Consider the following 13,058-nt stretch of genomic DNA (forward strand, 5'->3'; position numbering starts at 1 on the left):
TCACTTTTTAACTTTTTGGTGTTTCTGTTTATATCTTATTGTACTGTCTATGTCTTGAAAAGTTGTTACAGGCCAGGCGCTGTGGTTCATGCCTGTAATCCCAGCACTTTGGGAGGCCGAGGAATGCAGATCACTTGAACCCAGGAGTTTCTGACCAGCCTGGGCAACATGGCGAAACACCATCTCTACAGAAAATACAAAAATGAGCCAGGCATGGTGTTGTGCACCCATGGTCCCAGTTACTCAGGAGGCTGAGGTGGGAGGATCACCTAAGCCAGGGAGGCTGAGGCTGCAGTGAGCCATGATTGCACTACTGCACCCTAGCCTGGGTGACAGAGTGAGACCTTGTCTCAAAAAGAAAAAAGTTGGTATAGTTATTATTTTTGAACAGTTCTTTTCATCTTTCTACCTAAGTTATGAGTAGTTTACACATCCCAATTACAGTGTTATAATATTTATTTTTTGTGTACTTACTATTACCAGTAATTATCTGAATTTTGTACCTTCAGATGATTTCTTATTGCTCATTAATGTCCTTTTCTTTCAGATTGAAGAACACACTTTAGCATTTCTTGTAGGACAGTTCTTGTGTTGATGAAGTCTCTCATATTTTATTTGTCTGGGAAAGTATTTCTCCTTCATGTTTCAAAGATATTTTTGCTGGATATACTATTCTACGGTAAATATTTTTTTTCCTTCGGCACTTTAAATATGTCATGCCACTCTCTCCTGGCCTGTGAAGTTTCTACTGAACAGTCTGCTGCTAGATGTATTGGAGCTCCATTGTATGTTATTTGTTTTTCTTATTTACTGCTATTAGGATTCTTTCCTTAATCTTCGAGAGTTTGATTATTAAATGCCTTCAGGTAGTCTTCTTCGGGTTAACTCCACTTGGTGTTCTACAGTCCTCTTATACTTGAAAATTGATTTATCTCTCTAGATTTGGGAAGTTCTTGTTATGATCCCTTTGAATGAACTTTCTACCCCTATCTCTCTCTCCACCTCCTCTTTAAGGCCAATAACTCTTACATTTGCCCTTTTGAGGCTATTTTCTAGATCCCGTAGGCATTCTTCTTTTTTTATTCATTTGTGTCCTGTATCTGTGCATTTTCAAATAGCTTGTCTTCAACCTAATTCTTTCTTCTGCTTGATCAAATCTGCTATTAAAAGACTCTGAGGCTGAATGCAGTGGCTCATGCTTGTAATCGAGCACTTTGGGAGGCTGAGGCAGGAGGATCACATGAGGCCAGGAGTTCGACACCAGCCTGGCCAATATGGCAAAACCCCGTCTCTACTAAAAGTACTAAAATTAGTTGGGTGTGATGGTGCAAGTCTGTAATCCCAGCTACTCAGGAGACTGAGGCCTGAGACTCACTTAAGCCCAGGAGGCAGAGGTTGCAATGAGCTGAGATTGCACCACTGCACTCCAGCCTTGGTAACAGAGAGAGATTCTGTCTCTGAAAAAAAAAAAAAAGAGAGAGAGAGAGATAAAGAGAGACTCTGATGCATTCTTTAGTATGTCAACTGCATTTTTCAATTCCAGAATTCCTGCTTGATTATGTTTAATTATTTCAATCTCTTTGTTAAATTTATCTAATAGGATTCGGAATTTCTCCTTTGCGTTGTCATGGATTTCATTGAGTTTCCTCAAACAGCTATTTTGAATTCTCTGTCTGAAAGGTCACATATCTCTGTCTCTCAGGATTGGTCCCTGATTCCTTATTTTGTCCCTTATTCGGTAAGGTCATGTTTTCCTTTATGGTTGTAATGGCTTGTGAATGTTCATCAGTGCATGGGCACTGAAGAGTCAGGTACATATTGTAGTCTTCATAGTCTGGGCTTGTTTGTACCCATCCTTCTTGGGAAAATTTTCCAGGTATTTGAAAGGATTTGGGTGTTGCGGTCTAAGTTTTTGGTCACTGCAGTCATACATGCTTCAGGGGGCTTGTCAAGCTTAGTAACACTGTGGCTCTTGCAGACTCATAGAGGTATCACCTTTGTGGTCTTGAATAAGATCCAGAAGAATTCCCTAGATTGCCAGGCAGAGACTCTTATTCTTTTCCTTTACTTTCTCCCAAATAAACAAAATCTTTCTCTCTGTGCTGAGTGGCCTAAAGCTGGGGATAGTGGGACACAAGCACCTCTGTGGCCACCACAACTTGGAATGCACTGGGTCAGACCTGAAACCCAGCACGGCACTGGGTCAAGGCCCACTGTAACCACTACCTGTCTACCATCTCTGTTGGCTCAAGGCAGTAGGGCTCTACGATCAACAGGTGTTGCAGCCAGCCATGCTTGCATCCTTCCTTTCAGGGCGATGAGTTGTTGTCTGGAGGAAATGGTCTGATGTCGGAAACCTTAGAAATCTAACTTGTGCTCTAGTCTACTGCAGCTGAGCTGGCACACAGGCCACAAGACTTTTCCCTCCCCTTTCCATAAGCAAAGGAGTCTCTCCTTATGGCCACCATTGCCACAGGGCCTTGGGGCATACTGTCAGGCTACTGCCAATGTTTACTCAAGGCCAAAGTGCTCTTCAGTCAGCTTGTAGTGAATGTTGCCAGGCCTGGGACTCACTCGCCTTCAAGGCAGTGGGCTCCCATCTGGCCCAGGGCAGGTCCAGAAATGCCGTCCAAGTGCCAAGGCCTGGAATCAGGGACCTCAAGAGTCTGCCTGGTGCAAGCCTTAATGTCTCTGGGGTCCTAAATAAACTTGAAAGCTGCAAGACAAAGTCCCCTCCTTTATTCTTCCCTCTGCTTTTCTCAAGCTGAAGGAGTCCCTTTCCATAGCTACCCAGCTGGGAATGTGCTGGGTCATACTTGAAGCCAGCATGGCTCTGAGTCTCACTCAAGGCCCACAGTGTATACTACCTGCCTACAGCTGCTGATTATTCAGGGCTCAGGGGCTCATTACTCGGCAGGTTATGAATCCTGCCAGGACTAGGTCCTTCCCTTCAAGGCAGTGATTTCTCTTCTGGTCCAGGGTATATCTAGAAATGTCATCTGAGAGCTAGGGCTTGGAATGTGTGCCTCAGGACTCTGCATAGTGCCCTATCCTACTATGGCTGAGCTGGTATCCAGGTTGCAAAACAACATCCTCTTTATTATACCTTCATTTCTCCTCAAGCAGAAGGAAGGAGTATCTTTTGGAGCTGTGAGCTGCACTGCCTGGGATTGGAGGAGGGGTAATGCAGGCCCTCCCTTGGCCTTCCCATCTGGCCTATCACCAGGTCATGTGCTCTCCAAGTCCACTGACTCTGAGCCCAGAACAGCACTAGGACTTGCCTAGGAATTGCAGTCCTTGTGGCTTAGATTGCCTTTCAAGTTTACTTAGGACCCCAGAGACCTTTAGTTCATGACATTAAGGCTTGCCAAAACTTAAGTTCCTTCCTCTGGGATGGACGATTCCCCTCTGGCTAGGGCTGGTCTAGATGCTCCCTCTGTGTGCATCAGCTAAGTTCTGCTTGGTGTTGCTTTCCACTGTGTCAGGGCATCGCTGGGTTCCAATACAAAGTCCGGCAATCACTGCACTATCCCTCCTCCATGCTCATTGATTCATTGATTCTCTCCCTGTGCCACATGGCTGCTGCTGGGGGATGGGGGAGGGGTGACATAGGTAATTCAAAACCGTCTTTTCTACCCTATTCAATGCCGCTTTCAGTGATATGAAGTTAAAACCAGGTACTGTGATGCTCACCTGATTTTTGGTTCTTTTTTTTTTTTTTTGAGACGGAGTTTGGCTGTTGTCGCCCAGGCTGGAGTGCAATAGCATGATCTCGGCTCACTGCAACCTCCGCCTCCCGAGTTCAAGCGATTCTCCTGCCTCAGCCTCCCGAGTAGCTGGGATTACAGGCATGCGCCACCACGCCCAGCTAATTTTGTATTTTTAGTAGAGACGGGTTTTCTCCATGTTGGTCAGACTGGTCTCGCACTCCCGACCTCAGGTGATCCGCCCGCCTCGGCCTCCCAATGTGCTGGTGAGTCACTGCACCCGCCCTTGATGTTTGGTTCTTATGAAGGTATTTTTTTTTTTACATAGATCGTTGTTAAATTTGGTGTTCCTGTGGGGAGAATGATTGTTGAAGTCTTCTGTATAGCCATCCTCCTCTGCCTCCCAGGCCTAGGAGTGAAATTCTGGGTCATACGGAAACTCTACGTTTCATGTTTTGAAGAATTCCCAAACTGTTTTCCAAAGTGGCTGCACCATTTTACAAACCTACCAAAAGTATATGAGATTTCCAATTTTTTGCAACCTTGCCAATACTTGTTATTATAGGTACTTTTTATTATAGCCAATCCAGTACCTTATTGTGATTCTGACTTGTGTTTCCCTGATTGCTAATGAAGTTGAGCATCTTTTCATGTGTTTATTGGTAATTTGTCTACCTTAGAGAAATGTCTATTCAGGTCCTTTGCCTATTTTAAAATTGAATTCTTCTTTCAATGATTGGGCTATAAGTATTATTTATATATTAGATACAAGTCCCAGGGTTCATTTTTTTAATCATATATATTTCTAGTTGCTCCAGCACTGTTTGTTGAAAAGGCTTTTCTTTCTTCATGAATTATCTTGACACCTTTGTCAAAAGATATGTAGATATATATTAGGACACTTTAATTCTGTTACATTGATCTGTTTTTATATATTTATGCCATTCTAATTTGAAGGATTTCCTCACATTTCCTGTGATTTCTTGTTTGACCTATGAGTTATTTGGAAGTACATTGCTTTATTTCCAAACATTTGAATATTTTCTTACATAGGATATTATTATGGGTTGCTAATTTAGTTCCGCGGTAGTCAGGATCTTATGATTTCTTCCATTGAAATTTAGAGATTCTTCTATAGTTCATGAATCATAAGTCTTGGTGAATACTCCATGAGCCGCTGAAAAGAATATGTATTTTGCCATTGGTGGTGTAATATTATATGATGTCAATTTGGTCAAGTTGAACAATTATGTTGTTCAAATCTGTATCCTTAATAATTGTTTGTATATTTGTTTTATTAATTATTGAGAAATGGGTTTTATCACGTCCAACTAAGTGGGTTTTCTGCTTCCATTTTTGCTTGACATATTTGGAAATTCTGTTGTTACATTCCTATACATTTAGGATTGTTATGTTTCTTCTTCTTCCTCTTCCTCTTGTTCTTCTTCTAGTTCTTCTTTTCTTCTTCCTTCTCTCTTTTGAGACAGAGTCTCACTCTGTCACCCAAGCTGGAATGCAATGGCAGGATCTTGGCTCACTGTAACCTCCTCCTCCTGGGTTCAAGCAATTCTCCTGCCTCAGCCTCCTGAGTAGCTGTGATTACAGGCGTGTGCCACTGCACGCAGCTGATTTTTGTATTTTTAGTAGAGACAGGGTTTCACCATGTTGGTCAGGCTGGTCTTGAACTCCTGACCCCAGGTGATCCACTCGCTTTGGCCTCCCAAAATGCTGGAATTACAGGCATGAGCCACCGTGCCCGGCTTGTTATGTCTTCTTGATAAATTGATCCTTTTGTCATTTTAATATGACCTTTTTTATTTCTGGTAATTTGCTTGTATTAAAGCCTACTTTGTCTAAAATTCATATTATATAGTATATTTTCCCTATACTTTTACTTTCAACTAGTCTGGGTTTTTATATTTAACGTGTGTCTTGTAAACACAGTATAGTTGGGTCTTGTTTTCTTAGCCTATTTGACAGGTCTATCTTTTATTTAGGGTATTTAGTGTAATTATTGATACATTTTCTATCTTGCTATTTGTTTTATGTGTCCTCCCTCTTCTTAATTTTTTCTTACTTCCCTGACCTCTCTTGGGTAAGCTATTTTTCAGTGATAATTTTTATATCTTCTACTGGATTTTAGTCTGAATTAATATTATAAAATATCATACACAACATAAAAATCTTACAATGTACTTCCATTTTTCTTCCCCTTCTGTGCTTTGTGCTTTTCTTGTTATACATCTTGCTTCTATAAATGCCACAAATCTCCCAAAATCTTACTATTTTTGCTTTAGTCAATGAACTTTTAAATAACTTAATACAAACGTGAAAAAGTATTTTATATTTATCCATATATTTATCATTCCCACTGCTCTTCATTGCTTCACTGTAGATTATAATTTTTATTTAATATCATTCCCTTTATCTTGAATAATTTATTTACTTTTCATATAATACTGTCGGATTTTATTTATTTGAAGATGTCTTACTTCCTATTTACAAATTTTTTAGGGGATAAAGTCACTGTAAGTTGCTAGCTTTTTTCCTTTTAGCACTTTAAAGATGATATTCCATTCTGGCTCGGCCTGGTGGCTTACGCCTGTAATCCCAGCACTTTGGGAGGCCGAGGCCGGGGGATCACTTGAGGCCAGGAGTCCGAGAGCAGCCTAACAGCATGGCGAAACCCTGTCTCTATCAAAAATATGAAAATTAGCCAGGCATGGTGGCGTGCACCTGTAATCGTAGCTACTTGGGAGGCTGAGGCAAGGTAATCACTTGAACCTGGGAGGCAGAGGTTGTAGTGAGCCGAGCTTGCACCACTGCACTCCAGCCTGGGAGACAGAGCAAGACTCCATCTCAAACAAACAAACAAACAAAACAACATTTTGTCCTCTGGCCTACATGGTTTCTGATGAAAAATTATCCGTCATTCCTGTATGCAATGTACATTTTTTTATTTGGTTGCTTTTAAGAGTTTTATCTTTATCTCTGTTAAGTCAGTAACTGTGAAAGGGTCTGAGTTTTTATTCTGCTTGCAAGCTAACTAGATAACCCATCACAATTTCATAGATTCTAATAGAAGATGGTGGAAGACAATTTATTACTCACAGCAGCAGTAATACACAGACTCCTTGAGCCCCACTTTTTTTTTTCTTTTTTTTTTGAGACAGAGTCTCGCTGTGTCGCCCAGGCTGGAGTGCAAAGGCGCGATCTCGGCTCAATGCAAGCTCCACTTCCCGGGTTCAAACAATTCTCCTGCCTCAGCCTCCAGAGTAGCTGGGATTACAGGCGCCCGCCACCACGCCCGGCCTTGAGCCCCACTTTCTACAGGGACTTGTGATGAGCTCCATATGTTACCTGAACACATAGTGAAGCACATTACGAAAAGGGACCCTGGTCGGGCGCGGCGGCTCACGCCTGTCATCCCAGCACTTTGGGAGGCCGAGGCGGGCGGATCACGAGGTCAGGAGATTGAGACCATCCTGGCTAACACGGTGAAACCCCGTCTCTACTAAAAATACAAAAAATTAGCCAGGCATGGTGGCGTGCACCTGTAATCGTAGCTACTTGGGAGGCTGAGGCAAGGGAATCACTTGAACCTGGGAGGCAGAGGTTGCAGTGAGCCGAGATGGTGCCACTGCACTCCAGCCTGGGTGACAGAGCGAGACTCCGTCTTAAAAAAAAAAAAAAAAAAAAGGGACCCTAATATTAGGAGGCCCTGAACTTACACAGGGGCTGTTGGCAAACCTGCCCAGGCTTCCCCCTGGAGGGCAAAAGTTGGGATGTCTCTTCATTCTGGGGTAATAAAGATACAGATATCGCCTTCATTGATGTGGATTTATTTATATTCCTTTTGGCACTTTATTTAAAAAATGGTTATATTTCTGCTGAAATGCCTGGTTTCTTTACCCGTTATATCTATATTTTGCTGAAAGTGTTTTTTAACCATATTTATCATAGTTTTTCTTTTTAATTCCTTGTCTTTTGATCCCAATATCTTGGTCACCTGTGGGTCTATTTCGATTGATTTTTTTCTCTTGACTATGGCTCACATTTTCCTGCTTTTTTGAATGTCTAATAATTTTTTGTCATATGATGAACATTGTGAATGATACATTGTAGATGCTCTGCATTCTATTTTCCTTTGAAGAGTGTCAAGTTTTGTTCTAACAGTAAGTTAAATTATTGAAAACTCACCTTGGTTTTGTGGAGATTTGGTTTTGTGCTTTGTTTGGATGAATTTCTTTTGGTTTTGTCCCTAATTCTAGGGTATATCCCTTAATGCTGGGATGCAGTCTTTCCTGCTAAGGGGTGGTCATTCTAGGGTTTCAGTGGAAAGCACAATAGAACCAAGTCCCTCTCAGATGGTGGAACTTTCCCAGAGACGGTAACTAACTGCTCAGATCTCTGCTCACTATTGATCTCCTTCAGGTTATCTAGATTCTTCCTCCTTGCATTGTTCATTCAGGAATCTGCCAAGAGTTTAAAGGAGTTTGCATGTAGTTGTTGGGCTTCTGTTCTTTGTGGCTCCCTCCTTCAGGATTTCCCCCCTCAAAGACATCCCACTCAGCCTCCCAAGTTTACAATTTACAAGTGTACCTCACACTACTGCTTATATTCCCTGCTAGCTGCAAGCTCTTGGAGTTTTCAGTTCATTGTTTTAACCAGTGCTTGGCATATATACAGTAGGTGAATACTGAAGTGAATATTTGTAGAGTGAAGAAATGAACTAATAAGTTATAGGATTATTAAACCTAGCATCAGATCCCCATCTAAAAAGATTAAGCAGTAGTGTTGCACATTGATTTAGAGCAAGGGTCCCCAATCCCCTGTTCATGGCCTGTTAGGACCATGTTGGGGGTGGGGGATTGAGAGCAAAGCTTCATCTGCATTTACAGGCACTCCCCATTGCTTGTATTACCACCTGAGCTCCACCTCCTGTCAGATCAGCTGCGGCATTAGATTCTCATGGGAGTGCAAACACTATCGTGAACTGTGTGTGCGAAGGATCTATGTTGTGCATTCCTTATGAGAATCTAGTGCTTGATGATGTGTCGCCGTCTCCTATCACCCCTAGATGGGATTGTCTAGTTTCAGGAAAACAAGCTTAGTGCTCCCACTGATTCTACATTATGGTGAGTTATAAAATCATTTCATTATATATTACAATGTAATAATAACAGAAATAAAGTGCACACAATAAATGTAAGGTGCTTGAATCATCCTGAAACACCATCCACTCCCACCTCCCCTATCTGTGGAAGAATTGCCTTCCACAGAAACCAGTCCCTCCCTGGTGCCAAAAAGGTTGCAGACTGCTGATTTAGAGCATGGTCTTTGGGTCTTGCCTGATTGCCTGTCCGTGCGTCCTTGATCAGGTTACTCAGCCTCTCTGTGCCTCAGTTTCCTCATGAGGTGTAAAGCTTCCTAACTCATAGGGTTGCCGTGAGGATTAAATGTTTTAGGACAGCTTATTGCCTAGCACTCAATAAATATTAGGTGTTATCATGGTTGTTGCTGCTTGTAGAGAGCCTGGTCAGCTTCATTTTAGCAGCATCAAATCAAGAAATGGACCTCTCTAGGTTGCCAATTCCTAGGGGAGCTAAAATGTTCACTAGATATTGTGAATAAATGTGAACTTTCAAGAGCCAATTCTTCAAGATGGATCCTGAGTGGCTAACTCGGCCTAAATCTGTTTTATTTTATTTTATTTTTCCGTTTTTACATGTCAAATAACTGGACTGTATTGGTCTAAATTCAAAATAGAGCCAAGTGGTCACTTGCTGACTAAAGGTCACATATGCTGAGCTCTCTGGAAACCAGCACCTTCTTGTTTCTGGGATTTTCAGAGCTCACCTGAACCAACCAATCAGAGCTCACCTGCCTTGGCCAATCAGGGCTCAGCTGTATCACCCAGTCAGGACTCAGATGTATTGATCGATCAGAAGTTGGCCTTGTAAAGCAATCAGAACTAAGCAAATTTCAAACCTTCATTTGCACAGGAAACCTGTGTGGGACCATTTGCTATGAAACCCGAGCCTTCCCTTTGTTCTTTGGAAGGGCACCTTTGTTTTACAATAAAGGTTGTGCCTCTCCAGTTTACAAACTGCTTACTGGAAGATTCCTTCTGGAGAACTTTTATTCACAATATACAGGAAATATGGAATCATTTAACTCAAAATGTCATTATACGGTGCCTTACATAGTTACAGAAATAGAAACCAGATAGTGCCATCAAGGGTGATATTGAAAAATAATAGCGTCTCGCCAATGACAACCTGTTCTGAGCTTATGTTTGCTAAAATAGATTGAGTGTAAAATCACAGCTATTTGCTTCTGTGCCACCAATCCCCAAACCAACTAGTGAATGTTCACCGTAAGCCAACAGTTACAGACAGGTGAAATTTGGAAATCAAATAATGCAACTTTTTCTTGTGCCCAGTGAATGGTAAATGAACAAGGGGTTTGTAGGGACTCCAGACAGTCCCTGTCAAGGCTCACGCGTATCTGGGGCGGGCCTCAGTTTCCGGTTCAGGTACTGGAAAAATAACCGGAGGGCTTTGCAGAGCCTGCGGCCCGGTAGCGCACAGGCCAGACGACGGCGCCGTGCGGGGCGCGCAGGAGGTACCCGGCCTGCCCGGCGGCCCAGCCCGGCGCCACAGCGGTCAGACCAGTCCCACAGCTTCGCCCCCGCCACCCCCAACCCCGGCCCGGCCTCAGCCCGCCCCTCCCCGCCCTGCGCCGCCGCCCGCCCGCCTGCGCTCCCGGAAACCGAGTCCCTCCTGCGAGCGCGCAGAGCCGGACTGGCCCAGCCCCCCGCGCGCGCAGCCGAGGCCCCGCAGCTCTCGCCGCCCCCAGCCGGCGCCTGGGCGCGGGGCCGTGGGGCGCGCGGGCCCGCGGGAGGCCGGAGCAGGAGCCCGGCGGGAAATGGGTAAGGGACCACGGGGAGGCCTGGGCCGGGCGGGGGCACCCCCGGCCGTCGCCGCCCTCGACGGTGACCGTGTGCCGTGCAGCGCTCTCGCCACGCCGGCGAGCACCTGCGGAGCGGCTGTCGCTGAGGGTTAGGGTCCCTGGAGCCGGAGAGAGGGTTGAGAGCGAGCAGGGGACCCTGAGGATCCAGCCTAACCGAGCGGCGGAGACTGGGACGGCAAGGGGACGCTGTCTCCACTGAAGGAGTCAGCCTGGGCTCTCTCGCCGCGGGCGACTCCAGCCGCGCTGTTGGATCCTGGCTCCAAGCCCCGCTGGCTGGCGAGCAGGAGGAGCCCTTAAAGCCATCCAGGTGTCAGAATCAGGCGACACTGAGGGCTTTGCTCCTAATCTGTCATGGCCCTGTGCCTCAGTGGTTTCTGGTGCTCATGACCAGGCCAGGCTGTGGCCCCGGCTTGGTGGGAGCTGCCCCCCCGGGACTGCACTGGGCTAGAGGACCAGGCAGCTCTTCTCTACCCCCTTGGGTGCTGGCCCTCCTCCTAGGTGTGTCTAGCAAGAAAGTATGAGAGATTTCTGGGAAGGTAAAAAGTGTCTGCACAGCTGACAAACTCATATCCCTCTAGGATTTCTTTTTGGCTCTAGAATTGTCTAGCTCATCTTTTCTGTAGGATGATGGAGCTAAGAATGTGAGTGAGTTCTTTGCTGGATTTTTCCACGCTGCAGGATGGACTTGCTGCTCTGGTCAATGCACTCGCCAGACCTCTGTGTCCATGGTCCGCATGTCTAGGTCAGGGGACCAGTATCAAAGTGAAGACTGGGCAAGTAAGCCCCACCTGCCCTTGAACCTCAGGCTTGGCCCCTCCCGAGGCCCAGAGCTGATTGAATGTTAATTAGCAACTAATTGGATGTCCATGAGACTCTCTACATAAAGAACACACCAAGGTCAGGTTTAGACAGTGTGTAGTGCCAAGTGATTCATTCTTTTCTTCCAGACGTGATATTTCCTGTATGTGAAGCATATAAAGAAGAGTCATTCATTCACTCATCTAGCAGATATTTACTGAGTGTCAACTACGAATCAGGCATGCAGGCACTGCGAATACTACTGCTCTTATTTGCATATGGGTTGGAAAGAGAAAATAAGCAAGTAAGCTGTTGAATGACATTATTTCAGAGAGCAATAAATGCTGAAAACACAAAACTGAAAAATTCCCAAAAAGAGGGATATGGGGCATGACAGTGAAACGTATAAGAGAAATTGGGCCTTAACTAGAAAGTGTAGCAAACAGACTTTCTAAATTAGGTGGGAAAATGGTCTCATGTTCAGGTCCTCAAAATCTAGGGGCACAGAATGAGGTGCCCTCTGTTCCTATCAGCAGGGAGTTATAAGCTGCTTATAAAGGATCAGTGAGAAATGAACTAGTGGTGAGTAGCCCCTCTCTAAGAGTATGTTTCTTATTGGGAAGCTTAAATCTAAGACAGAGATTAAGATTCCCAGAAAACATGGTCTATTGACTCACTCACTCATTTGTATATTTATTCAACAAATATTTATTGAAGGCCTGTATGTCCCAGGCACTATTCCAGGTTTTAAGGATACATCAGTGAACAAGACAATCCTGCATCTCACAGAGCTTATTTCTTGTGGGAGAAACAGACAATAAACAACATAGCAATTTTAATGTCGTGTCAGATGAAGGATCTGAAGAAAAGCAAGGCAGCTTAAGGGGTTAAAGTTGATAGGGGCTGCTGTGTTCAACAGAGTAGTCAGGACAGGCTGTGCTTAGATGAAATTTGAGCAGAGACGTGAATGTATGTGGGACATAGCCATGTGACTGCCTGGGGGAAGAACATTCCAGGCAGAGGGAACAGCAAGTGCAAAGGCCCTGAAGCCAGAGCGAGGCATGAAAATGCTGGGCATGCTGGACGAACAGGGAGGAGGTCAGTGTGGCTCTGGGGTGGGGAGCAGGCATCTCAGAGACTTGTCTTAAAGGAGGCTGGGGTAGGGCTCAGCCTTGACCAAAGGCACCCAGGAAAGCAGATGGTGTCCCTCACTGCTGTGGCAGGAAGATTTACAATCTCCAACTTATGGACAGGCCTGGTAGTTTATGCCAAGTAGGGCAAGAAGTGATCAACAGAGATGGAGAGCATGTCTTTTGCTAGGAGAGGTATCATTTGCTTTTCTTACTCACACTCTGCATCCTTCAAAACATTATGGGCAGCCTAACTAACATGGTGAAATCCCGTCTCAGCTAAAAATACAAAAATTAGCCAGGAGTGTTGGCGCTTTCCTGTAATCCCAGCTACTCGGGAGGCTAAGGCATGAGAATCGCTTGAACCCAGGAGGCAGAAGTTGCAGGAGCGGAGACTGTGCCACTGCACTCCAGCCTGGGCGACAGAGTGAGACCTTGCCTCGAAAAT

General features: G+C 44.7%; 1 annotated feature.

The window, feature by feature from the left end:
- Positions 10,168-10,697: a silencer, noted in NCBI's record as "silent region_11879". NCBI's record gives its function as "represses an Ori minimal core promoter by ATAC-STARR-seq in GM12878 lymphoblastoid cells {active_cell/tissue: GM12878}" and the evidence as "EXISTENCE:reporter gene assay evidence [ECO:0000049][PMID:35858748]".

Source organism: Homo sapiens, chromosome 2 (genome assembly GCF_000001405.40).
Source record: "Homo sapiens chromosome 2, GRCh38.p14 Primary Assembly".
Classification (NCBI taxonomy): domain Eukaryota; kingdom Metazoa; phylum Chordata; class Mammalia; order Primates; family Hominidae; genus Homo; species Homo sapiens.